Source organism: Homo sapiens, chromosome 2, assembly GCF_000001405.40.
Source record: "Homo sapiens chromosome 2, GRCh38.p14 Primary Assembly".
Lineage (NCBI taxonomy): Eukaryota > Metazoa > Chordata > Mammalia > Primates > Hominidae > Homo > Homo sapiens.
Genome location: NC_000002.12, coordinates 171,016,125 through 171,043,600, shown reverse-complemented (window position 1 = coordinate 171,043,600; position 27,476 = coordinate 171,016,125). Strand labels below are relative to the sequence as shown.

At 36.2% G+C, this 27,476-nt stretch overlaps 1 protein-coding gene across 6 annotated transcripts in view; it reads left to right on the top strand.

Annotated features, from left to right (window-relative positions):
• The window catches only part of TLK1 (tousled like kinase 1), a 240,471-nt gene that overhangs the window by 187,693 nt on the left and 25,302 nt on the right, over window positions 1–27,476 (top strand). For 5 of the 6 annotated variants that reach the window (NM_001136554.2, XM_017005422.3, XM_011512238.4 and 2 more), the window contains one exon: window positions 15,196–15,262. In NM_001136554.2, the coding sequence (NP_001130026.1) occupies window positions 15,196–15,262 (67 nt within the window). Of the gene's footprint in view, window positions 1–15,195; window positions 15,263–20,471; window positions 20,730–27,476 lie in introns of those variants that run through there. The other variant, XM_047446530.1, reaches the window with a different exon arrangement.

Below are 27,476 nucleotides of genomic sequence, written 5' to 3'. Positions count from 1 at the left end.
ATGTTTATAATCTCTCCCTCTTCCCGCTTCAATTTTGGTCTCTTCCTGCAGTCTGTTTTCATGTCGTAGAGTCATTTTTCTGAAATAAAAATGTGATCCTTTCATTCTCTTCCCTATAACCCTAACAAAGCTCTCCAGTACTTGAATGATCTAACCCAAAAGTCCTAATATGGCTTATAAAGCACTTTTGATCTGGCTCCTTCTTCGTTATCTAGCCTCATTGTTGCCATCACTCAGTACTTCTACTTCACTGCCAACATTCAGACTCTCACCCATTGTCTTAATTTCTGTTAATCTGTTAAGTCCCACGGTAGTTATCGCTTCCTCCTGGAAGCTTTTCTTTAATATATGAAAGATGGGAGTTATTTATTACTTTGAGGTATCACCATAGTAAGTACCCTCTATCTCTTCAGTCGCAGCATCAATGTCCACTCAGGTGATGACACTAGGAATCTGCCTGTCATCTTAATGTTTCTCTTTCCCTCATTCTCTGTGTCTGTTTCCATAACATTTTCATGTTTGCTCCATTCTTCATTTTCACGGTCACTGTCTTAGTGTAGGACCTTGGTTTTTTTTTTAACCTAGATTACTATTTTTCATGTCTCACCATGTTTAACCTCTGTCAGTGGCTTTCTAGATAAAATTCACCCACATGAAGACCCTTTATGTAAACCTTATTTCTCACTTTATCCTCATTCTCCAGCATTTGCCCTACATATATCTTAAGTTAAACTTTTTCAATTCTCTAAATGGACTGTGCTTTCTTGCTTCTGTGACTTTATCTTGTTCCTTACCTTTCTTCATTTGTCTCATTTCCTGTTTATCCTTTAAGACTTGGCTTAAATGCTGTCTTCAAAAGGAAGTTCTCTCTAACCTTTTTTTTTTTTTAACCAGTTTCTCCTATTGCCTCTCACACTAGGTGCCATGATATTTTGTGCATACTTGTATGTATTGTAGCATTTATTTCACTGTTTTATCTCTGTAGTCCCAATGCCTAGCACAGTGTTTGGTGTATGGAAAGTGGTCAATACTAAATTACAATACACAAGCATTTAGGCTGGGTGCAGTGACTCATGCCTGTAATCCACTGTTTTGGAAGGCCAAGGTGGAAAGATCACTGAGGTCAAGAATTTGAAACTAGCCTGGGCAACAGAGCAAGACCCTATCCTTACAAAAATAAAAAAAAAAATTAGCCAAGTGTGGTGGCATGTCCCTGTAGTCCCATCTACTCAGGAGGCTGAGGCAGGAGGATCTCTTGAGCCCAGGAGTTTGATTACAGTGAGCTATGATCACTCCACTGCACTCCAGCCTGGGTGACAGTGAGACCCGGCCTCAAAGGGAAAAAAATAAAAAAAACACATTTGATCGAATTTCATTTTCTTTTTGATAGATCATCTTTCTGGTTTGTCACAGGTATTTTGTTTACTAGTTGTCTTCCAAGATGCTAACAGCTTTAATTATAGTCTAATAGTCATAGTCTTCTTTCGTTTCTATCCCATTTTATTACATATGTTGACCTAAAACTAACTCTGTGGCAAATGAAGTGATGGGTACTACATGGCAATTTGATTGCATTCTTAAACAAATTATAGGTTTAAATAGGGCAAAAGGCCACAGAAGCACTTTGATTCATATATACTGCAGTTTGAATAATGCTTTTTTAACACAAAATGTCACATCTCTACTTGGCAAACTATCTTTTAAAACTTCTTTTGATTCATTGTTTAATGAAAATGGCTTTGGCTTGTGTGCAGAATATCTAGTATAATTAGGGGACAAGTTATGAATCTAGTTATCAATTGTCTATCAAGAAATTAACATAGAAAATGAAGTTACTATTATGTAGTACAGTAGTCCCCAACCTTTTGGCACCAGGGACCAGCTTTGTGGAAGACAGTGTTTTCATGGGCTGGGGTGGGGGCTGGGGGATGGCTTTGGGATGAAACTGTTCCACCTCAGATAATCAGGCATTGTATTTTCATAAGCAGCATACAACCTAGATCCCTTGCATGCGCAGTTCACAATAGGGTTTGTGCTCTATGAGAATCTAATGCCACTGCTGGTCTGACAGGAGGTGGATGGAGTTCAGGTGGTAATGCCTGCTGGCCCGCTGCTCACCACCTGTTGTGCAGCCTAACAGGCCATGGACGGTACAGGTCTGTGGCCCAGGGGTGGGGAATCCAGATGTGGTGGGTAGGACTTTAGGTTCTGTAGTCAGACAGATGTGGATTCCAAATTTAACTCTCCCAGATTATTTTTAGTAAGTTATTTTACTTCTTTGAATCTCCATTTTCTTGTGAAAGTATCTACATTATACTGTTGAAAAGATGGTAGGAGGTAATGCATGTACTTGGCATGGTTTTTAGTTCATAATTTATTTTTAACTATTAGCAAGAGTCAGTTTTTTAGGTAATAACTTGTAATTTTAGTTACAAGGACTTTTTATTCAGAGTAAATAGTTTGGGTAGTTAATACTATCTCTAGATAAAGTCTGTTGACACTTACATTGATTTTCCTTTACTAATACATTTTAACCAAGATTTTTACTTAAAATATATTTCAAATTAAGCTTTGGTTGTATCTGTTAGACTTACATGTTGCATGTTTCACAGAGGGTGACTGCAAAGTTAAGAATAAGTAATATTTTACCTCATATATTATTGAAGTTGGACAGGTCATTGCTTTTCCATTATAGCTTTAATTTTAAATTAAGAATATATTTTAGGCTGGGCGTGGTGGCTCAGGCCTGTAATCCCAGCACTTTGGGAGGCTGAGACGGGAGGATCACTTGAGCCTAGGAGTTTGAGACCAGCCTGGGCAACATAGCAGGACCCCATGTTTACCAAAAAATAAAAAATTAGCCAGACATGGTGGTATGTACCTATAGTCCCAGCTTCTCAGGAGGCTGAGGTGGGAGAATTGCTTGAGCTGGGGAGGTCAAGGCTGCAGTGAGCTGTGATTGCATTACTGCACTCCACTCCAGCCTCGGCAACAGAGGAAGACCCTGTCTCAAAAAAAAAAAAAAAAAAAAACAAAAAAGGAATATATTTTGTATAACATTATTAGTAGACTACTTATCTCTTTTTAAAATTAATGAACTTATTTTTTAGAGGAGGAGGAGGGCAGTAGTACAGCAGAATTGAGCAGAAAGTACAGAGTTCCTATATACCTAACCCCTGTCCCCACACGGATACATTCTCTTCTACTGTCAACATCCCACACCACAGTGGCACATATGTTACCTGCATAGACACATCGTTGTCATCCAAAGTTACATTAGAGTTCACTGTTGATGTTGTACATTCTATGGGTTTTGACAAATGTATAACTGATTTTTCTAAAATCCTGTCTGAAAAATCTTCCTTTCATTGGAGAATTTAATCTGTTTTTCAATTCATGCAATTACTTATTGAGGCTTATCTTTATGCTTCTGTTTATCCTACCTAGTCTCCCCCTTTTTCTTTTTTTCTCACCTTTTATTGCATTGACCAGTTTTTGTTTATTTTATTCTTTTTCTCTATTACAGTATGAGCATGCTTCTATACACAGACACACATATATACACACATCTACCTATAGGACATCATTATTGTCTTGCATAGTGAGTGTTCATATGGACTTTATCCACATATTTATTTATTTTTTGCTCTTTACTTATTTCTACACCTCTCACAAGATTTTTCTGCCAAGAATACCCTTTACAAATTTTCCTTTGTAAAGGAAAATTACAAAGGGGTCTGTTGGTAGTGACCAGTTTTTGTTTGTCTGAAAATTATTTTGCCCTCTTTGGATATCTTTACTGGTTTTAGAATTTTGGGTTGGTAGTTACTTGAAGAGATGATTTTTATTGTCTTCTGATTTACATTATTACTATTGACAAGGTAGCTGATAGTCTTTAGAGAAACAATCCTGAATGCAGCATAAGCAGTATTTGGAGATGAGATAACTAAGAGTGTTTCAAAAACAGATGAACAAGATCAGTCTACAGGTTCATGAAGGCCAGCAAATTCCAGGGGATATGAATAAAAAGAAACACTCATTGAGGTTGGGTGTGGTGGCTCACACCTGTAATCCTGCCACTTTAGGAGGCCGAGGTGGGTGGATCGCTTGAGCTCAGGAGTTGAAGACCAGCCTTGACAACATGGCAAAAACCCATCTCTACTAAAAATGCAAAAATTAGCCAGGCATGGGCCTGTACTCCCAGCTACTTGAGGGGCTGAGGTGGGAGGATCGCTTGAGCCTGGGAGGCCAAGGCTGCAGTGAGCCATGTGCGTGCCATTGCACTCCAGCCTGGGTGACAGAGTGAGATCTCTGTCTCAAAAAACAAAACAACAAAACAAAACAAAGCTCATCTATACACATCATAGTGAAATTTCAGAAAATTAAGGCAAAGAGAAAAAAATTCTTAAGCAGCCAGAGGGAAAAAAGACATATTGAAATAACAGTTTAGAAAAGACAGGCAAACACCACCCAAAAGAAAGCTATATTAAATCAGACATAGTAAAATTTAAGACAAAAAAAATTATTAGAAATGAAGTGGTTGTTATAAAAGGTTGAAATCACTAGGAAGCTATAATAATTCTAAATTTATATAAATATGATAACATGGCCTCAAGATAAATAAAAAACTAATAATAATAGACAGATCCACAAATCATAGTGGGAGATTTAAGCACATTTCTTAGAAATAGAACATGTAGATAAAAATAAAGCATTACAAAACAAAACACACAGTGCATGCAAAATTAATGGGATTGGCAAACTTGAACCAATGGACATATATAGAATACCTCCCAACATCTGCAGAATACATGTTCTTTTAAAAATATTGACTATAAAAAAATTGGTTATAAAGCAAGCCTCGGCAAATTTCACAGGATTGAAAGTTTATGTAAGAGTGGTATTCTTTCTCCCTTAGTCATTGGTAGAACTCCAGGATGAAAATGATTGAAACCATTATATATGTTCCCTGACCACAATGCAATTAGCTAGAAATCTGTAACTAAAAGGTAGTGGAAAAGTGCCAATGGAAATGAGAGAAAATTCTGAAATGAAAGATTTCAAAATATTTTGAAATGAATGTTAGTGAAAGTGCTACATAACAAAATTGGTAAAATGTATCTGAAAGAGTATCGAGAGAAAATTATAGCTTTAGTTATGTATGTAAGAAAAGAAGAAAAACTAAAACTTTAGAAACTAATCATCTATTTCAATAAGTTAGAAAGAAAATGAGCAAGAGAATTAACCAAAGAAGAGGGAAAAGATAGCAGAAATTAATATAGGAAACACACATACAATACAGAGAATAAACTAGTTTTTTAAAAATCGCGTTAAAATTTTTGTAGGGGAAAAAACCTGATACAATTGATATGATTGATTTTTAAAAACCACAGCTATCCCCAGGAATGAAAAAAGGAATATTACTACTGTGTCTAGATATTTAAAGGAAACAACACATTATAAATTGCTTAAATTTGAAATCTTTGTGAAATTGACAAATTTAAAGAAAAATACAGTGGAACCAAAACTGACAGTAGAAGAAACAAAATCCACATAGTTCTGTAACTATTAAATAAAGTGAATCTGTAATTTAAACATTTATTCAGAGAAAAACTGCAGGTCCAAATAACCGCATCTAAGAATTCTATCAGCCATTTAAGGATGAAATAGTGCCAGTCTTTTACAAACTTTTTTGAAGAACAGAAAAGGTAGATATGCTTCCCACTTATTTTCTGAGGCCGACATAATCTTGATGTCAAAACTCAACAAAGATTGTACAAGAATGACAGTTACAGGCAAATCTCACTTGTGAAAATAAATGCACAAATCTTAAAATAGTAACACAAACACAACATATAATATATAAAAATGCTAATTTATGAAGACCAAGTTGGGTTTATGTTGGATGTGCAAGGTTGGTTATAGATCAGAAAAATATATATAACTTTTCACATAAATAGAAAAATCATATGACTATCTTAATAGATACGAAAAATTTTAAAAAATTAGATAAAATTCAACATTGATCTGTGACTAAAACTCTTAGCAAACAAGCAGAAGATACTTCCTTAATCTGCAGTTTGCTTTCCTTTTTACTTTTGCTTGAGTATCTCCATGCTGTACTCTTGGGTCATCATGCCTCTGTTTTTTTTTTTTTTTGAGACGGAGTTTCACTCTTGTTGCCCAGGCTGGAGTACAATGGCACGACCTTGGCTCACTGTAACCTCCGCCTCCTGGGTTCAAGTGATTCTCCTGCCTCAGCCTCCCGAGTAGCTGGGACTACAGCCATGCGCCACTATGCCTGGCTAATTTTGTATTTTTAGTAGAGATGGGGTTTCTCCATGTTGGTCAGGCTGGTCTTGAACTCCCGACCTCAGGTGATCTGCCCACCTCAGCCTCCCAAAGTGCTTGGATTACAAGCGTGAGCCAACGTGCCAGGCCCATCATGCTTCTTAATACCCTATTTCTTCTTCCTGGCCTCCTGCTGTTGCTTCTTTTTAATTTAGTTCAGATATTACCTTTTCTGTGACTTTGACTAGTTTCCTGCAGATAGAATGTATTTTTTTTCTTTGCTCTGTGTATTCATAGCTGTATTATAAAAAGTAATTATCTTAAAATCAGCTGATGAGCAACCTTGATCCCATTTAAATCTAGCCTTTTTTAAAGACTAGGATATGGCATTTTGGGAAAACCATTATTCTGTTTACTGACCCCCAAAGATTCACATCCTTTCCACATGCAGAGTACATTCACCCTATCTCAACATCCCCATTACAGTGTCAGCACAAAGTCTGACATCACATCTAAATCCCATAAGCTCAAAGTTCAATTCTCATCAAATAAATGAGATATGAGTGAGACTTGGGGTATAATCCACCCTGAGACACAGTTTTTCTTCATCTGTGAAACTGAAACTCGAGAAGCAAGTTACCTCCTCCCACAGTACGATGGAGGAACCAGGTATCTGATGACAGTTTAGAGACATTTCTGTTCAAAACAAAAAGCAGTGGAAGCAAATTCCTGCAGAATTTCAAAATCCATTCAAACTCCATTTGGATTCAAGGTCTGGGAATAATCTTTTATGATGATCTTCTGTGCTTCTGCCTTTTGGGCACAGGTTTCTGTCCTCTAGGTTATCCTTTCTTTTTGATGAAGTTTAGCCTGCTAACAATCTGTTTAAACTTTTTAGAAATTATGCTTTTTTTGGGGGGGGAGACAGAGTCTCGCTCTGGGTTCAAGTGATTCTCCTGCCTCAGCCTCCCAAATAGCTGGGGTTTACAGGTGCCCACCACCATGCCAGGCTAATTTTTGTATTTTTAATAGAAACAGGGTTTCACCATGCTGGTCAGGCTGGTCTCGAACTCCTGACCTCAAGCAGTTCACCCGCCTTGGCCTCCCAAAGTGCTGGGATTGCAGGCGTGAGCCACTGTGTCCAGCCTTCAGAAATTATGCTTCTTAAAATTCTAGCCTCTGTCCCCTGCCCAGTTCCAAAGCCACTTCCATGTTTTTAGGTATTTATTAAAGGCGCATTCTACTTCCAGGTAAGAAGATCTGCAGTAATTTCTTATGGCTGCTGTAACAAATCACACAAACCTAGCTTTAACCAACACAAATATTACCTTACCGTTTTAGCGATCACGGACCTGAAATGGGTTTCATTTGGGCTAAAATCAAATTGTTAACAGGGCTATGTTACTTCTAGAGACTCTAGAAGAGAATCCATTTCCTTTCTTTTTCCAGCTTCTAGAAGCTGCCCACATTTTTTGGTTTATGATCCCCTTCCGTCTTCATAGCCAGCAGCGGCCAGTCAAGTGTCTCACCTGTCACATTACTCTGATTCTGACACTGCCTCCCCTTCCCTCTGGGCACACATGGGTAATGCAGAATAACTCCCTGTTTTACTGTCAGCTGATAAGCAACCTTAATTTCACCTGCTACCCTTAATTTTCCTTTTCTTTATAACCTAATACATTGACATGTCTCAAGGATTAGGATATGGAAGTCTTTGGCCATTATTTTGCATATCACAGTAGTACTTGGTATGTAAGTCATTGTATTAGTTTGCTTTCACGCTGCTGATAAAGACATACCCGAGACTGGGCAAGTTACAAAAGAAAGAGGTTTAATGGACTTAACAGTTCCGCGTGGTTGGGGAGGCCTCATAATCATTGCAGAAGGTGAAAGGCACATCTCACATGGTGGCAGACAAGAGAAGAGTGCTTGTGTAGGGGAACTCCCCCAACCCCCTTTTTTTTTTTTGAGACGGAGTTTTGCTCTTGTGCCCAGGCTGGAGTACAGTGTCAAGATCTCGGCTCACCGCAACCTCCGCCTCCTGGGTTCAAGCAATTCTCCTTCCTCAGCCTCCTGAGTAGCTGGGATTACAGGTGCCTGCCACCACGCCTGGCTAATTTTTTGTATTTTTAGTAGAGACGAGGTTTCACCATGTTGGGCAGGTTGGTCTGGAACTCCTGACCTCAGGTGATCCACCCTCCTCGGCTTCCCAAAGTGCTGGGATTACGGGCATGAGCCACCAAGCCCAGCTGGAACCTCCCCTTTTTAAAGCCATCAGATCTTGTGAGACTCACTCACTATCATGAGAACAGCATGGGAAAGACCTGCCCCCATGATTCAGTTACCTCCCACCAGGTCCCTCCCACAACACGTGGGAATTCAAGATGAGATTTGGGTGGGGACACAGCCAAACCATATCAGCCATTATACTTATACTAAGTATAAGTAATTGCACTTCAATTTCTATTACATTGTGAACGTTTGGACTCTTCAAAGGAAGACTAGTTTCATCCCTCCCACAATCACCTATTTTTTTTCCTAGTGATAACATTTTTTAATTGAGGTTAAATTTATGTAACATACGAATAACCATTTAAAGATGTACAGTTCAGTGGCTTTTAGTCCATTCACAGTGTTATGTACCATCACTTCTCTCTAGTTTCAAAACTGTTTCCTTAACCCAGAGGAACACTGTGCACGTTAAGTAATCACTCCCTAGCCCTTTCTCTTCTCACCTCCAGTAGCAAATAATCGGTTTTCTTTCTCTGTGTATTTGCTTCTTCTGAATGTTGTATATAAAATGACTCATACCTTATATGACCTTTTGTGTCTGGCTTTTACTTAGTATAAGTTTTCAAAATATATTCATGTTGTAGCATGTATCAGTACTTCATTCTTTTTATGGCTGAACAATATTTCATTGTGTGATTATGCACAATTTGTTCATTCATTCATTGATGGACATTTAGGTTGTTTCCACCCTTTGGTTATTATAAATAGTTCTGCTATAAACACCTGTCTACAATTCTGTGTGAGCTTGTTTTGTTTTCTTTATCTGTCTAGTACTGAGTATTATGGTAATTCTGTATCTTAACTTGTTCAAGAACTGCTTATTTTCCATTCTGCACCGTTTTACATTCCCATCAGCATGACAATTATCCCTATTTTTCTACATCCTTGACAATACTTTTTACTTTGCCATTTTAAAAATCATAACCATCCTAGTGGGTGTAAAGTGATATCTCACGGTAATTTTGATTTGCATTTCCCTAATGACTTAATGTTGTTGAACATCTTTTAATGTGTTTGCTGGTCTTTATATATCTTGTTTGGAGAAATGTCTATTCAAGTCTTTTGCTCATTTTTTCACCAGACTGTTTGTTGTTTTGTTGTTGTGGGAGGTTTTTTTTTTTTTTTAAAAAATCTGGATACTAAACCCTTAACATATATGATTTGCAGATATTTTCTGCTATTCTGTAAGTTGTCTTTTACTTTTTTGATAATATCCTTTGATGTACAGAAGTTTTTTATTTTTATGGGTACATAGTATTAGGTTGGTGCAAAAGTAATTGTGGTGTTTGCCTACTTTCAGTGGCAAAAACCGCAATTACTTTTGCACCAACCAATGTACAGGGTACATGATATATTATGATACAGGCATACAATGTGTAATAATCACATCAGGGTAAATGGGGTATCCATGACCTCAAGCATTTATCATTTCTTTGTTATAAACATTCCAATTATACTCTTGGTTATTTTAAATGTACAATATATTTTTGTTGACTGTTGTCATCCTCTTGTGTTACCAAATACTAGATCTTATTCATTCTATGTTTTTGCACCCATTAACCAACCCCACCTTTTGCCCCCTTCCCCACTGTCCTTCCCAGCCTCTAGTAACCATCATCCTACTCTCTATCTCCATGAATTCAGTTGTTTTAATTTTTAATGTTTTTAATTTTTATGAAATGTATTTTGTTGATTTTTGTTACTGTTGTTGTTTATGCTTTTGGTGACAAATCTAAGAATTTATTGCCAAATTTGTAGTCATGAAGATTTACCCCTGTGTTATCTTCCCTTTGTTTTGTTTTGTTTTGTTTTGAGACAGGGTCTTGCTCTGTCACCCAGGCTGAAGTGCAGTGGTGCGATCTCAGCTCACTGCAACCTCTGCCTCCCAGGTTTAAGCGATTCTCCTTTCTCAACCTCCCAAGTATCTGGGATTGCAGGTGCCCATCACCACGCCTGGCTAATTTTTGTATTTTTAGTAGACAGAGTTTCACCATGTTGCCCAGGCTGGTTTTGAACTCCTGGCCTCAAGTGATCCACCTGCCTCAGCTTCCGAAAGTGCTGGCATTACAGGCATGAGCCACCATACCCAGCCTCCTGTATTGTCTTCTAATAGTTTTAGTTACTATATTTAGGTCATTCATTCATTTTTAGTTAATTTTTGTACATAGAGTGAGGTAGGGGTCCTACTTCATTATTTTGCATGTGGTTCCCTAGTTGTCCCAGCATCATTTGTTGAAGAGATTATTCTTTCCTCATTGAGTGGTCTTGGTACTCTTGTCAAAAATCAACTGGCCGTAGATTTTTGGGTTTATTTCTGAATTCAGATCTATTTCATAGGTATATATGTGTATTCTTATGGCAGTACCATACTTTTTGAAAGTCTCCAATCTGTGGACATAGGATATCTTTTCATTTAATTAACTCTTTTTGAACTCCTTAGCAATATTTTGTAGTTTTTAGTAGGCAAGTCTTTCACCTCCTGGGTTAAATTTATTCCTAGGTATTATATTCTTTTGGATGCTATTGTAAATGTAATAGCTTCCTTAATATCCTTTTCAGGTTGTTCATTGCTGGTGTATAGAAGTAACTGATTTTTGTGCATTGCTCTCATACCCTGCAGCTTTGCCAAATTTATTTATTGTTCTAGTGATTTTTTTTCTTGTGCATTTTTTGGGGATTTTCTAAATATAGAGGCATGTCATCTGCAAATATAGATAGTTTTATTTCTTAGCTTACAATTTAGATGCATTTTATTTCTTTTCCTTACCTGACTGCTCTGGTAGGACTTCCAGTGCAATACTGATTAGCAATCATGAAAGTAGACGTCCTTGTCTTTTTCCTGGTATTAGGAGAAAATCTTTCCATTTTCACCATTAACTATGATGTTAGTTTGCCTGGGTTGTTGTTGCCTTTTGTTGTTGTTGTTGTTGTTCTTTTCTTTTCTTGCTCTGTTGCCCAGGCTGGAGTACAGTGGCAGTCTCAGCTCACTGCAACCTCTGCCTCCCAGGTTGAAGTGATTCTCATGCCTCGGCCTCCTGAGTAGCTGGGACTACAGGCGTGCACCACCACATCTGGCTAATTTTTGTTTAAGTGCCTCTAACAGTCTATTTACCATAGTTTGTGTTCTTTGAGGCTTCATGTTAATTCTCTGCTTAAACAGAATGTCTTTAAGACATTGAATACCAAATTTGTTTAAAATGAATATCCCTGTTTTTGTTATTTCTACTAACTTTTTAAAATACTGTCACCCCATATTTCTGTTAAACTATTTTAGAACACTTTTAAAATTAAAATTTTCATTTACTCAGACTTAGTGTGGAAGATTATCAGGAGTCAAGTCTTATGTTTGGGGTTTAAATTTGTTAACGTTTAAAATATTATGTGTGCATAATAAAAATAATACATTGTTATGTGTGCATAATAAAATATTTTTATGTTTGTGTAATAAAAATATTAATAATTTAGCTATCATCAGATATGAGTCTATGGGAAGAGATGGATTATATCTTTGCCTTATCTATGAATAAAAGATTTGCTAAGTAATTTAACTGAATTGTTTGAGAGGGCAGGTTCTTTTAAAAGCATCTTACACACATAAAAGTATTGATAATTAAAAGCCACTGATGTGAACATTATCCTAGCTTAGCTCTTTTCATTCTGTCTAAAATCCTGTTTCTTTAAAGAAGATTGTTCCCAGTTGCTTTTATCTAAATACATAGATTTCTTTAAAAACGTTTTTGATTAATACAAATGGACAACAGAGGTTATCGAAGAAGCTACAATGTGTCAGGTATTAATAATCCCTAATACTTCCTAGTAGGAAGAGGGAGAGAAAATGTAAGAAATGGCTCTTTTGTCATTTGGGGGTTTGCATTCTAATTGGCAAGACAAGACCCAGGCAGAGGAACTCTTACTGAGATTTGTGAATCCCAAAATTATATATATGTAAAATTTTCTGGGGAGAGTATTTATAACTTCCTTCAGATTTTTTTTTTTTTTATGATTGTAAAATGGTAAGAATCACTGCCCTGAAAAGTGAGTAGCCTAACAACACACAACAACAAAATAGCGTTTCTCCTAAATTGCACAGAGTCTAGCCATGTGCATGTGTAGGAGCTTTGCAGTTATACATGATAGCCAAACCTCTTGGTAGGACAAAAATTTCAAGTAACTCAAGTCATGTACTAACTTTGGTTTAAGATATGCCAAATTTTAGCTGTTTTGTAATTCAGTAAAAATCAAAGTACAGAATTTCTATATAGAAAGAAAACAAATTTAAATATCTTTTAAAAATTAGTTATGAGCCCATACTATGGCCTACTAGTGGACCTTAAACCATACTTTAAGAATATGAATTTATGATACTGTTATATAATAGCAGTATCATAGGCAAACTTCCACCAGTGGCATAAACCTGTACCCATATCCAGAAGCTTTTTGCTAACATTCCTACATCTTTTCTTTTCTAGATTAGTTGAGATATTATACATTTTAGTTTTCAAACCTCATTTTCTTTAGTATCACATTCCTCCTCCTCCCTCTCTCACTTCATCTACATTCACACTCCAGCATTTAATTCTCTAAATTTACTATAAGCAACTGCTACAGCTATCAACTATTGCTATATTCAGTGTAATAAAATCCAGTAGTTGTGTCACCCTAAGACTAGGTAGAGAAGTTTAATTTAACATGTTAATTTTTTTGGCTCTTAAGATGTTGCGGGTGGAATACTAACTGAATTTCTTGTTTTTGTTTATTTCCTTTGAATACTCCTTTTTTAGAATTAGTTAATTTAATTAGCATCTAGCTAAAGGGAAATGGCATTTATACTAAATGTTGCTGAGGGACTGAAACCAAACAGATCACACCTGAGTTAGGAGCTTAATGAAATAACCTCAGAACACATAAGTAAATTAACAAACAAGGGCTTGAATATGATAGATAAGAGCTATTCTTTTAAAGTTGGGGTATGGGCCGGTTGTGGTGGCTCACACTTGTAATCCCAGCACTTTGGGAGGCTGAGGTCGGTGGATCACTTGAAGCCAGGCATTCAAGACCAGCCTGGCCAACATGGCAAAACTCCGTCTCTACTAAAAATGCAAAACTTAGCTAGGCATGGTGGCGTGTGCCTGTAGTCGCAGCTACTCTGGAGGCTGAGGTAGGAGAATCACTTGAATTTGGGAGGTGGAGGTGCAGTGAGCTGAGATCGTGGCCACTGCACTCCAGCCTGGGCAACAGAGCGAGACCCTAATAAGCCTTGTTGTAGTTCTGCATACATTAAACTGATTACTTTTCAAAGTCAGGTAATAATATTTGAAATAATAAGATAACCATGAAGCACTTTCAAGACTTAAAGTCCTGTATCTATTTATAATTAAGATTTTGAAGTAGCTAGGCATGGTGGCGTACACCTGTACTCCCAGCTACTTGGAACACTGAGGCAGGAGAGTCACCTGAGCCCAGGAGTTCAAATTCAACCTGGACACTAAAGCAAGACCCTATGTCTATATTTGGAGTATAAGAATTTAGTGCTTTTTTGGGGGTGAGGGAGATTGAGACGGGGTTTTGCTATGTTGCCCAGGCTGTTCTGGAATTCCTGGGCTCCAGTGATCCACCTGCCTCAGCCTCCCAGAGTGCTGGGATTACAGGCGTGAGCCACTGTACCTGGCCAGAATTTAGTACTTTGACTAAAGTTTTAGCATTTTTTTATCTTGCTTATTTACTCCCAACACACTGAAGCAGGGAAAGGAAAAATGTCTTTGTTTTTTTCCTCTTTTTAAAAACTGCCCAAACTGGACTGACTCCCTTTGCAGTGATTTCCCATTACTCTTAGAGTAAAACTGAAATTCTTGACTTGGCCTGCAAATCTATACATAGTATGTCTCCCCAGCTTGCTTCTCCTACTACTCACAACCCTTTTGACTACATCTGATTTACTCCCATTTTTTTCTCTTCTATTTATATGCCAAGACTATTTTCATCTTAGAGTTTTGAACTTTCTATAACTCATGTCTAGAATATACTCCCCAGAGTCCTCTCATGGTTGTCTTTTTGTTATTTAGATGGTCACCTCTCTAACACCCAGTCCAAATTAACATAATGCAATTAGTCATTACCATACCATCCTTTTTTGCCTTCTTCATGACACTTACTGTTACTTAAACTTATTTATTTCATCACGTGGTTTTTTTTATGCTTGCTTACTTCCACTATAGAGTGTACGCTCAAACTAATATGTAAGGAGAAATTGTTTTGTTTTTCACTGTATCCTTAGAATATAAATTCTAGAACATCACTTGATAAATGGTACTCATTAAAACATTGTAGAATTAGTTAACTGTTTCATCTAAAAGTATTAAATATATTCTGAAGAATATCTCAAAGGATTTTTGGCTCATACATTTTCCTTAAAGCATTGTAGAATTAGTTAACTGTTTCATCTAAAAGTATTAAATATATTCTGAAGAATATCTCAAAGGATTTTTGGCTCATACATTTTGGGCTTAAAGTTGTCCACATTTTAGTATTTCCACTTGATTTTTATATTTTGCTAGTTGTTAATAAACTAAGTATTAATCTCAATATGTAGAATTAAAATTTCATTTTTGACAGGTTGACTTTGGCAGAATATCATGAACAGGAAGAAATTTTCAAACTTAGACTAGGACATCTCAAAAAGGTATGTGAAACATATGCTGCATTTTTAGTTCAATTTGCTACCAGAATTTGTGGGAAGTTGTGTTATAAGTCACTTATTTTAAAAGCCAAAATTTAAGAGAGTAAGATTTCAAATTAAAAATTTCAGATTAAAAAGAGATGCATTAAAGTTACTTTATTTTATTTATTAGTATTTTTATTTTTTGAAACAGTCTCATCACTCAGGCTGGAGTGCAGCGGCACAATCTAAGCTCAGTGCAACCTCCACCTCCCTGGTTCAAGCAATTTTCGTGCTTCAGCCTCCTGAGTAGCTGGGATTACAGGCATGCGCCACCACATCTGGCTAATTTTTGTATTTTTAGTAGAGTGAGGGTTTCGCCATGTTCACCAGGCTGGTCTCAAACTCCTGGCTTCGTGTGATCCACCCACCTTGGCCTCCCAAGGTGCTGGGATTACAGGCATGAGCTGTCGCACCCGGCCAAAATTACATTTTTATGTTGAGTATATTAAAACAACATTCCTTTATCTTGTGTCAACTTAAAAATCTTGAGATGGTGACACACCATATCCCTTTAGTGGAGGAATGATTCTTGGACAGACTTCCAAGGTCTTTAGATTATTCTATTTAAGTACTACCTTTTGGTAAAAAATACTTCATTTTAAAGATGAAATCTAAAATTCCATATTGTTTATGTTCATTTCATAATAAAATAGCAATTGTAAATAAATAGCAAACTTATTTCTTTGGCTTATCTTTTAATTTGTTGCATGTGTGATGTTTCGATTAGAAGATGTACGTAGGAAAAAGCACTTAGTGATAGTATAAAGGGATAAAACTGAGAAAAAATGTTGCTATGTGTTATTGTCGTAAACTTTTAAATAATGTGTATCTTTCTACTTGTTTGTAAACTCTGAAATTGTAATCAGTTTATTGTTTTTACAGGTCTTAATTTTAGTTCAAATGATTTCAGAGAAGTAGTAATAATAGAGTAGGTTTTTTTCCCTCAAAATTAAGTTACTGACAGACATAAAGTTCTTTTTCTTTGACCCAATTTTTTGTGCTTTCTGCTTGTCAGGTTCTTTCAATTTTTTAAATAGGCTGAATTATAGGTAAAATTGAAGGAGTGAACTAATTGGAGATAGTATCTGTGAAGTTGTCTCCATGGGATAGGGTGAGGTAGGATGGAGAAACCCATTCTGGTAGCAGCTACTATTACACTGCATACTAATTTGTTTTGGAAATGTTATTAATATGCTGGGGATTCCTACCATTTATAGGGAATAGAAAATTATTATATATAATTTGCATTAGTATCCTTTAATATGCTATATCTGTCTATGCCAACTGCCCAGAAAGCTTCAACGTAAACTACTTGAACAGTGAATTAAAAAGTGATTTATTTTGGTTTTGTTATTTAAGTAGTTCTATTCTGTTCTATTGTAATTATTGACTACTTTTCCTGCGCTTTGAGACTTAGTTGACAACTTAAGTCTATTCTCTATAATAATAGATGGAGCTATATAACTATCATAATAGTTCTATAATAGTGATAGAACCATATAAAGGAACTATGGAAGCGAAAAGGGAATTTTTAGTACAGGATGAGTCGTAAGTATCTGTGTGCCCACTTAAACTGTTTTGATAATGAGTTCGTAAGGGCCTATGCTTTATGTCTCATATAAAGATTTACCAGTTATTTTCTAACCAGCCTGTGGTGATAAAGGAATACTTATTTACTTAGTTATAGTGATTCCAAGGTGTACTTGAGAGTTTTACTGAAGGGTTATTATCTTCACGTGTAATACCAAATTTCAGATTACTCTTTCTAAATGATGACATTTTACATATGCACCTTATTTTATGAAAATCTGTTATAAAATCTGAAATTGTAGAGCAGTTAAATTAGGAATTGGCTATTTGTATTACAAAAAGTACACTTTGAAAAGGCTTCAAAGGAGGGTTTGTTTTTGTTTTTGGTTGGTTGGTTTTAAAGCTTTCCTGGTACTTTGAAAATACTGGTTTCTGTGAAAAACACTTTTATAAAGTAAGGTATACTTAGTGTCCAAATATTATATAGACATTTGTAAAATGTTGTAGAACACTAAACCTTCTAACCTTCGTATTTTCCTCTTTCCCAGTGTTTGACTTCTATATTTTTCGTATTTACTTACTCTTTCCAATAATTATCCCTTCCATAATCTTTTTCCTGCTTTTTTTCCTAGCTTTTATCAAATTTACTGAGCAGTCTTAGATTTCTAACTTTATCTTCTTTTTAACTAATTTACAACATAACTTTTCTTTTCTTTGACCTTCATCATGGAATATTTTGGGGAAATGGATTAACAGTAATGCTGAAACATACTCTCATGTCATGAATACCCATGTTTTCTTCTGAGAGACTATTTTGGGTGAGAAGAATGAGTGTATTATAAAGAAAGTGGCCAGTAGTACATACAGGGAACAAAATTAAGCAAGTAATGTCACCTTAGAGCATAAATAGCAGTTGCCTGCTTAGAACCGAGTATTAATTTTTGAGTTATACAGTTAAAAAATAATAAGCAATAAGTTACATGTATAAAAATAAGTTATTTGGCATTCTGAAGCACAGTTGGAAAATAGGTCATTCTGTTTTCTAAAAAAGATTAAACAGATTTTTAAAACACAGGACAGGCTTGAGTCAAAAGAAAAGATGTTATCACTTCTGTCTTATCAGCTCCCTATGCTCCTGGGTTTATTAAGCAGACATGAACCCCGACTTGTAAATATACAGCTTCTACCATAGGCTGGATCTGAATATTTGACGCCCCTTGTATCCTGCACAGGAAATATAACCAGTCAGTTTACGGTTTAGATTTGGAGCCTGGCATACTCTTGCATTAGCATGGGTGACTCTCTTGCCCTTTCTCCCTTCAATAAATTCTTAACATTAAGCAGAACTAATTATTAGACTAACTTTCTTAGCACTGAAGGACCAAAGTTCATTGAGGAAGCCCATGGCATATGGACATAGGAGAATAGAAAGACCTGTTTACTTTTTCTTGAAGTGGATAATTTATGACATGCTTTGTGTTTCATAATGATAATCACTATAATTGAAAAGCTAAACTAAAATATGAAAAAGTATATTTACCTTTGAATAAATCATGAAGTTTAGTTCATATTTTATGCTGTTCTTCAGGGTTAGAAAAATAATAAATCCAAAGATAGCCTTACTCTATTATCCAATGTGTGATAGAGTAAGGAATGAGAGTCAGGCAGAAACCTCCAAAAGTAAATACATGGCTAAAATAAATAGGTGTTTCTAGTTACTACCAAAAAGTAAATGTAAACTTACTTATGGACTTATTAGTTTTCTCTTCTGAGATTAGGAAAATCACAGCAGAGCGTCACTTTTTTTCCTCTCAACTGTATCAAGAATTCTTTTATCTAATATTTATTGTTATAGTTGTTCCCAAGTTTAAGCAGTCGTTGCTCACCCATTTATTAAGTGACTTATTGCCATACTCTGCCTGACACAGGCATAATTCAAATTCCCATTTTAACGGAATTACATATTACTTTTTATAGACTTTGAAGCTTTCACCATTTTTGAGTGAACATTAATTACACCTTTTTGAAAGCCCAGATCTATATATACTTCCTCTGGAGTAATACCACCAGTAAGTGACAAAGCCAAAACTTGAACCATTCCCACTCCTATTTCAATGACTGTACCCATGTAGTTAATTCCTAGAATTATTTTGTTGTAGATTAATAGTAAGTTGATTCTTTGTATTCAGAAAAATTAATTCACTTGTGGCTTTCCTTGCATCTCTATTAAGTACTGGACTGTTTGCTTTTCCTTAAGTTTTCTTTTGGTGTGTGGCGGGATGAACGTGCTATTTCATTTTCATTACAGATAAAGGAGAACAGTTTTAAGTTAATTATTTTTCATACACATTCTTTTTCATTCTCTTTCACATACTTTCTTCCTTGGGCATTATGTTAGTGACTGTTGAATCAACTACAATATTTCTTTATTATTAACTAATATATTGATTTTCACTCGATTTATTTTTAAAGGTCAACAAAGACCTTTTTAAAAAGCACATTTTTAAATAAAAACTCAAATAATTTTAAAATATATCTTAAGGAATTCTTAGAATAGAACTATATAGTAAAATGTATGGAGACTATACAAATTATTCCTGAAACTATTTCAAAAGGAACAAGTAACTTTTTTGGTTATCATTAATTATATACAAACTTCCCCAGTTATTACTTAATAAAAGCTTGTAGTTGTAAAGAGATTAATTTCCTATCTTTAAAAAGTTGTTAATTTGAGGCAAAGCTTCTAAATGATCCTATTTTATCTACCTGTGCCCATGTGGAATCGTGGGTTCAAGGAAACCAACCAAAAACCAGTTTGCTCTTATAGTTGATCAGGTTTTGATACCTGTCTCTGATAAGTTCTAATTATGGGAAAACAATTTATCTTTGTGATTCAGAAGCTCTGCTAGGTTGATTATATAGTCAGATCTTTATTCTGGAGTTGAAGAAGATGGTGTGGATTTGCTTTCAAGGATTGTCACTAAATTAACACATAAAACTAAAAATACAATCCCTGCAAAATCAACTTCCTTGAAATGTCTATATTTTTAAAAAGATACAAGTTATTAGTCATAATACCCCAAACTGATGAGTAAATGAGAATTTTGAAAGTTATTAGGTCCAGTAACTATGTCTTGAGACTGCTGTTACTCAAATTTGTGATATGAACAGCATGTGGGTATGTTACTCTTTATTTTCTTGTCTTCAGATTTTTTTGTCTTCTTGATTTTAAATATTTGATTAGTTGGAGAGAATGTGTTTAGAAAGTGTGACATCTCAGTATGGAGTATTAAATAGTGTAGTAGGGATTGGCTTTAATGTGTGTGTTTTGGTGTGTGTGTGTGTGTGTGTGTGTATGTGTGAGTGCATTTGACTTATGAGCCCTGAATATAAGTGCCAGAAGTTTTATTTGAAAAACATAACCAATTTGTAATTGAAACAGGATTAGTCAAGAACCATCAGCACCAACACAAATGTATCTTTGCAGACCGAAGGAATCAGCTAAACAATTTACAGTCATCTCAATCTCTACTAAAACAAAAATCACATCCAACATGCCACCTGACACCATTTCTTTCTCTCTCTCTCCTTTGCTCCTTGCGATGTGGCATTCATCTCTCCTTGTGCCTCCGTTCTGAAGAGATAACAGTATAGCAACAACTCTGCCACTGAAATCCTGTTCTCTGACCGATATTGGCACCTGCAAAGAGAAACAACCAGTAACAGGCAGCAGCAGCATCAGTATTAATCTTCCATGATGAAATCTTTACAGGTCAAGAACAAGTACACAGCTCTTTTCTCACTCCTTCACAGTGGACCATGCAACTAGTTGAAATGGAAGACAATGGATTGTCTACAAGCCTTTTGAACAGTGGAGAATGCAGGGCGTTGGCTTTAGGTGAATTGACCCCCAAATATTCTTGAAGTTTGATGTCCCCTTTGGTCTTTTTTTCTAGAACACCATTGTCATCTGACTTATCAAACCCTTAGTATGACCACAAAGAATAAGTTTGCATATGTGACATTTTTTGTCACTTTAGGTTTGAATGAAAATATGAAAATAATGAGCATTATAATGCTAGAGGGCTTAATCTTTAAACCTGTTGTTCATCTTTATATTTATAGCCATGACTGGAAGAAATCTTCTAGGAATTCTCTCAATTAAAGCCAACTACATTGTACATGATGTTTCTGTAGAACCTGACACAAGATGCTGCTTGTGTAGGCAGTAGTTTTCAGTGGAATTCTGGGAAAAGTATACTATACTGGAAAAAGTCGTGATTAAGCCCATGAAGAATGTTAAAAGATTCCTGATTTCTTGGAGGGAGGTGTGTGTGTGTGTATGTGCAAGAAAGGTGCCAAGAAGAGTGCTGGAATTCTAACTTTACAATTTGTGCTTACTACTATTTTCCATTTAAAAATGAGTAGTTGTCCCAAAAAGATGACTGTGGTGAGAGAACATGGAACTAGCTGTAGATGGGAAAACTCAGTGTTTACGTTCTTATCTCTTACTCACATATGGACCTGCAAACTATCCTGGCTCTATTTTTCCATATTTATAATCACACAACCTTAACTTGGTAGTAGATAATGTTCAGCTACCAAAATGAAAATGTAGAGGTAAAAGGTGTTTTACTTCCCCAGTGTGTGTGTGTGTGTGTGTGTGTGTGTGTGTGTGTGTGTTTTTCGCCCAGGCTGGAGTGTGGTGGCATGATCCCGGCTCACTGCAGCCTCCGCTTCCCAGGTTCAATCGATTCTCCTGCCTCAGCCTCCTGAGTAGCTGGGATTACAGGCATGTGCCACCATGCCTGGCTAATTTTTATATATATTTTTTAGTAGAAACGGGGTTTCACCATGTTGGTCAGGCTGGTGTCGAACTCCTGACCTTGTGATCCACCCACCTCAGCCTCCCAAAGTGCTGGGATTACAGGCGTGAGCCACCGTGCCTGATCCACAGTGTTTAATATTAATCCTGTTGTTATACAGGCAATGGAATTTAAAACATTTTGGGAAGAATCTTAGAAGTCATGTTAGCCATCAGCAGGGTTTGTAACTAATTCAGATTTGTAAATTCAGTTCAGAGATAACTTTCACAAAAAAGAGAAAACAGTTGCTTGGCTACCAGCCCTTCCCAATCATAACTGTAAATCCATGCCATATGCATAATGAGCATGTAGAAGACTAGGTTTAAAAGGAAGCAGAGGCCAGGCATGGTGACTCATGCCTGTAATCCCAGCACTTTGGGAGGCAGAGGCCAGAGGATTGCTTCAGCCCAGGAGTTGGAAATCTTGTCTCTACCAAAAAAAAAAAAAAAAAAAAAAAAAAAAAAAAAAAAAGTCGGGGCGGGAAAGCAGGAAAGAAAACTGGGAGAAGGACTGCAGTACACTACACGAAGGCATTGCACCTGTGTGTGATCAGGCTTGGTGTCAGCCCCTTGGTTAGTGTTGAACGTTAATTTCACTCCTATAATACAGCAGCTGTAAATATTTTTAAGACAAGTGTGCCAGATATTTAAATTTTGCCAATCAGTTGAATTCTTAAACATTTATTTGATGCTGGGGAGGTAGTTTTTGTTTTGTTTTGTTATAATAAAGTAGAGGAACTGACAGAATTAAAACCTGCCTGTTTTAACAGTCATTCCAAGTTACGGGTATTAATGCATGTATTTATGCATTTGAAGGGAGAGTAAACCATTACCCCTCCACACACCCCCAGAAAAACAGGAAATGAAGTGTGTAGAGAGCAAAACATTGAGTAAAGGTACTAAGTTAATTATCTAAGCTAGTTGAACACACCTGAGGTGATACAGTATGCTCTCATCAGTAATAAGCCACTTTAGTAATTGGGGATAGGGGTGGAGGGAACATTTATATAATTAGGAAAGAAAGCCCCCAATATTTAATGATTTTTATCTTTTCTCCTTCTCCTACCCTTCTCCCCAATCTACACAATTATTCTCAAGCAAAAATATGATTATGGTGCAATAGTTTCAAAAGTCAGACCTGCTTTGTCTAGGTGGTTATTTTGGTTGGTTGGTTGGTTGGTTGGTTGGCTGGCTTTTATTTTGGTTGGTTCATATCTCACACATTCATATTTAGAATATGGGAAAGCATATAATATGGTGACATAATAAGGATAAATTCGAAATAAATTAGTAATTTTCTCCTTAATTGTTTTTTTGCACTGCCCTTCCTTTTAATTAGCTTTTTTTTTCTTTTTTTCTTTTTTTTTTTAGACAGTCTCGCTGTGTCACCAAGGCTGGAGTGCAGTGGTGCAATCTGGGCCCACTGCAACCTCCGACTCCTGGGTTCAAGCGATTCACCTGCCTCAGCCTCTCAAGTAGCTGGGACTACAGGCTCCTGCCACCATGCCCGGCTAATTTATATATTTTTAGTAGAGACGGGGTTTCACTGTGTTGGCCAGGCTGGTCTCAAACTCCTGACCTCATGATCCACCCACCTCAGCCTCCTGAAGTGCTGGGATTATAGGCATGAGCCACCGCACCTGGCCCTTAATTAGATTTTAATAGTGCCTTTTGTTGATTTCACCTTTCCCTTTCTTGGTGGTAAACTTTCAGAATGGCATTATAAATCGTTTGTGAAATTAAAATTTAATTTTTTTAGGACTTAGAGATGTTAACTTTTAAGGGATTGATATTATTCACATTACTAAAGTGAATTTGGTGTTAAATTTTTTTTTTTTTTTTCTGAGACGGAGTCTTACTCTGTCACCCAGGCTGGCTAGAGTGCAGTAGTGTGATCTTGGCTCGCTGCAACCTCAGTTTCCTGGGTTCAAGTGATTCTCGTGCCTCATCCTCCCGAGTAGCTGGGGTTATAGGCGAGCACCACCACGTCTGGCTTATCTTTGTATTTTTAGTAGATAAAGGATTTTGCCATGTTGGCCAGGCTGGTCTCGAACTCCTGACCTCAGGTGATCCACCGGCCTTGGCTTCCCAAAGTGCTGGGATTATAAGTGTGAGCCACCTCACCTGGCTGGTGTTAAAACCTCATTCTGAACCGGTTTTCTTAATCAAGTAGTGTTGTTACGGTGAATAGACTGTTCCAAGCCATATTCTTCTACCAACTCCCATAGGTTATAGGCACGCTGAGAATAATACATCAAAATACTTCCTGTTTTATCTTGGCTTTATGCGAGGCAGTTCTTAGAAATTGAGTTTTTTGATAGAGAGAATATGTAACATATATTCAGGATTTGCTAAATAACTTTAAACTAGCAAGTTTAATTTTTTCAGGAAATGTATTGGTTTTACATATAAAAATGTATTTTATAACTTTTTAAGCCTTATAGTTTTAATGCCTACCATATTTCACCTTTTAATAATTGCCTTTTGAAAAAAATGCCATTATGAGAAATGCTCCAAAATACTCCAGATTCACCTACCATTTTCTTTTCTTTTTAAAAAACATCTCCTTCACATGGGAACCACCTATCATTTTTAACCTGGAATTTTACAGAAATTCTACATTGCTACAGCCTACATTTGGCTTATAGACTTGAGCCAAAGGAATATTATGTTGCCATAAGAGACTTTGATTACAAATAGAAAGCATTTCTATGCTGAAGATCTGGTGAGGGACAAAGTCTTTTAGTGAAGTTGCTGTGGGAGTTATCCATACACATTTTTTTTTTTTAATTTTAACTGTTAGAAGGTGGTGTTTTTTGCAAGTTACTTAAACAATGAGACAGTGTTGAGATCTGTTGTATACCTGTCTGACTTGGCTTTTTATGTGAGTATTAGATTTTATTTTAAAATACTGTTAAAATAGCTATAGTGTGTATTGTTAAATTTTCCATTGTAGTTTTTGTTTGAACAGAAAAGAGCCATGTCCTTTTATTGTGTATTTAATTGCCAAACTTACCTCTCTCTTTAATACAGTCTGTTCTTACTTATGTCTCTTCTTCATTGTAATAGCCTACAGAGACCAGTTCATTTCTGGAGATGCTGTTTGTCTCTTTGTTTCTTTTAGATTTTCTCTGCTTTCATTAACTGCTCAGCTAGTGTATGAATTCAGGACTGAAACTTGGTGTTCTTACTAAGCACAACTTAGCTGATTGGATTGTCTCCTTTCAGTCTACTCGTCTGGCCTAGTTTTGCTATGAGTTTGAGGATTCTATTCTGTGGTGAATTCAGATCAATTGTGAGCCTAGTTAATCCTGTCTTCTCCTGAACCCTTGGAAAAAGATTATTTCTGAGGATGGCCCACAGGTTAATGTCAGTCTCAGGCAAGGAGAATGTAGCCTACTGGATAGATCTTTGGAAATGATCTGTAGCAAAGATAAGTTGTTCAAACTATTGTACCCTGGGCCAAACCAAAACTGGGCCTTGCCCCATTCTCTGAGGACAAGGTGCTAGACAGTATTGCCCTAGCATTTATCTACAAGTATGTGTGTTGGCCATAACAAAATATCAGACTGGGCACCTAAACAACAGAAATGTATTCTAGAAGTCCATGACAAGATCAGGCAGAGTTTAGTTTTGGGTAAGGGCTCTCTTGCTGGCTTGCAGATAGCCACCCTCTCACTTTATCCTAACATGGCCTTTTCTCTGTGCTCCTTGGAGGGAGGGGTGGGGGAACCTTTCTTCTCATAAGGCCACTAATCCCATCATGAAGGCTCCATAACCTAATCCAACCCTAAGTACCTCCCAAAGGCCTCATCTTCAAATGCAGCCATATTAGGGAATAAGGGCTTCAATATATGAATTTTGAGGGAACACAGACATTCAGCCCATCACAATATATGTACTTTTTCTTAGTGGAATTTTTAGCGTAGCAGAGTTACCTTTCCCCCAGAAGTGTGTCAGTTTGCTTGAAGTCCAAGATACTGTGAAATACTAACTTACAAGATGAAAGACAAATATATTTCACTGAGTATGGTGGGTTTATATCTATCTATTTAAGACATAGTTTCTTCCCTTGACATTTCCTTCTAAATACCCAGAATCCATCTTTTTTTCTCTAGTGCTACTGACATTTTGTTGTTCTTCCAGTAAACTTAACAATTCAAATGGAATGAAACTTGCTTGTGCTTTGATTTTGTAAGATTTTTATGGGACATATTTGTCATGTTTTTAGAGGCAAAATAAAAAAAGCTTGCTTTAATTTGCTGATACATATTTTACTTTCTTTAACAAGTATTTATTTTGTAATATTGATTACTACCATTGTATAGACATCTGAAGATTATAAAACAAATGTAATTATGTTCATCAACAACCTATTTGAATCTTACTTATTTATGACTCAGTAAAAATTAGCTTTTATAAATTCACTGTTGAAATAGTCTCCCCATGCCACAATTTCAAATAAAAGTTAAAACAAGTATTTATTCTAATAGGCTTTTCACAATTTTATCAGATTATTTAAACTTGCACCAGCCCACCAAATGTTGAGTAGCTTCCTACACATGTGACAGTCAAATTAAGTTTTTAAGCAGCAAACATTAGTAACATGAAGGGAAAGAGTCATTGCTTTCTAGATTCTAGTCTAGATTAGAATTGAATCTAGATTCTACATTTCTAGTGTAAATTAATTTAAATTCTTTCATACTCCTGGGTAAACCTGTAGGCAAGTTTCTTATCTGTTTTACATGGCTAACTATGATAACTAAGCTATGTTTTGAGTTTTTTGTCTCAAAGCTTTAAAATTTACTTCCTGTTTTTATGAAACTTTGATTATTGAATCTCCTAGGATATCACTTTACTTTTTAAAATTAAAATTAAAAATATATGTGACCGAAGCTGTTAATGAGGAAATTTCAGTTAAATTAAGAGAATCTATGTAGTGTACCTATTGTAGAAAATCTCCCAATACTTGTAGAAAGATTTATCTTCATTTGAATTTATTTTGAAATTTTCTATTTGCCATGTAATATCAAATCTGCATTAAATATCTCTGCAACAAGTCGTGGTTGAATTTCATTTTAAAATAATAACCTTAGGAGTAATGTGAAGTACAAACAACATAATCTTTAGAGATATAATTTGTTTTTTCTCATAATGCTTAAAATATTCCTCTGAATTTCTGTCTTAGGTACCGGTGTGATAAGCTTTATACCTCTGTTTTCTGTCTTTGAATGAAATGATAATATTTATATTTTCAAAGTAAATTTCAGAGTTATATTTTGAGGTAAATAATTTTTTATATCAAAAGATAAATTACTAAAAAGAAGCAAAGGAGCTGATGAAATATTTAAATGCATTATTCAGAAAAAACTTCTGTTCCACGTGGTCTAGATTTATAATTCTAGTGGGTACACATTAGGCCAAGGTGATCTGTATTTCTTTACTTCAAAATTACGTACTAAAAATATTCTAAGCCGGGCATGGTGGCTCACACCTATAATCCCAACACTTTGAGAGGCTGAAGCAGGAGGATCCGTTGAGCTCGGGAGTTCAGGACTAGCCTGGGCAACACAGTGAGACCCCATCTCTACAAAAAAATAGCCAGGTGTGGTGGCGCATGCCTGTAGTCCTAGTTACTGGGAAGGCTGAGGCAGGAGGATTGCTTGAGCTTGCGGGGTCGAGGCTGCAGTGAACTGTGATCATGCCACTGCGCTCCAGCCTGAGTGACAGAGTGAAAAAAGAAATTGGGCTAGAAACTTTCACTGAAACCTGGCACAGGCT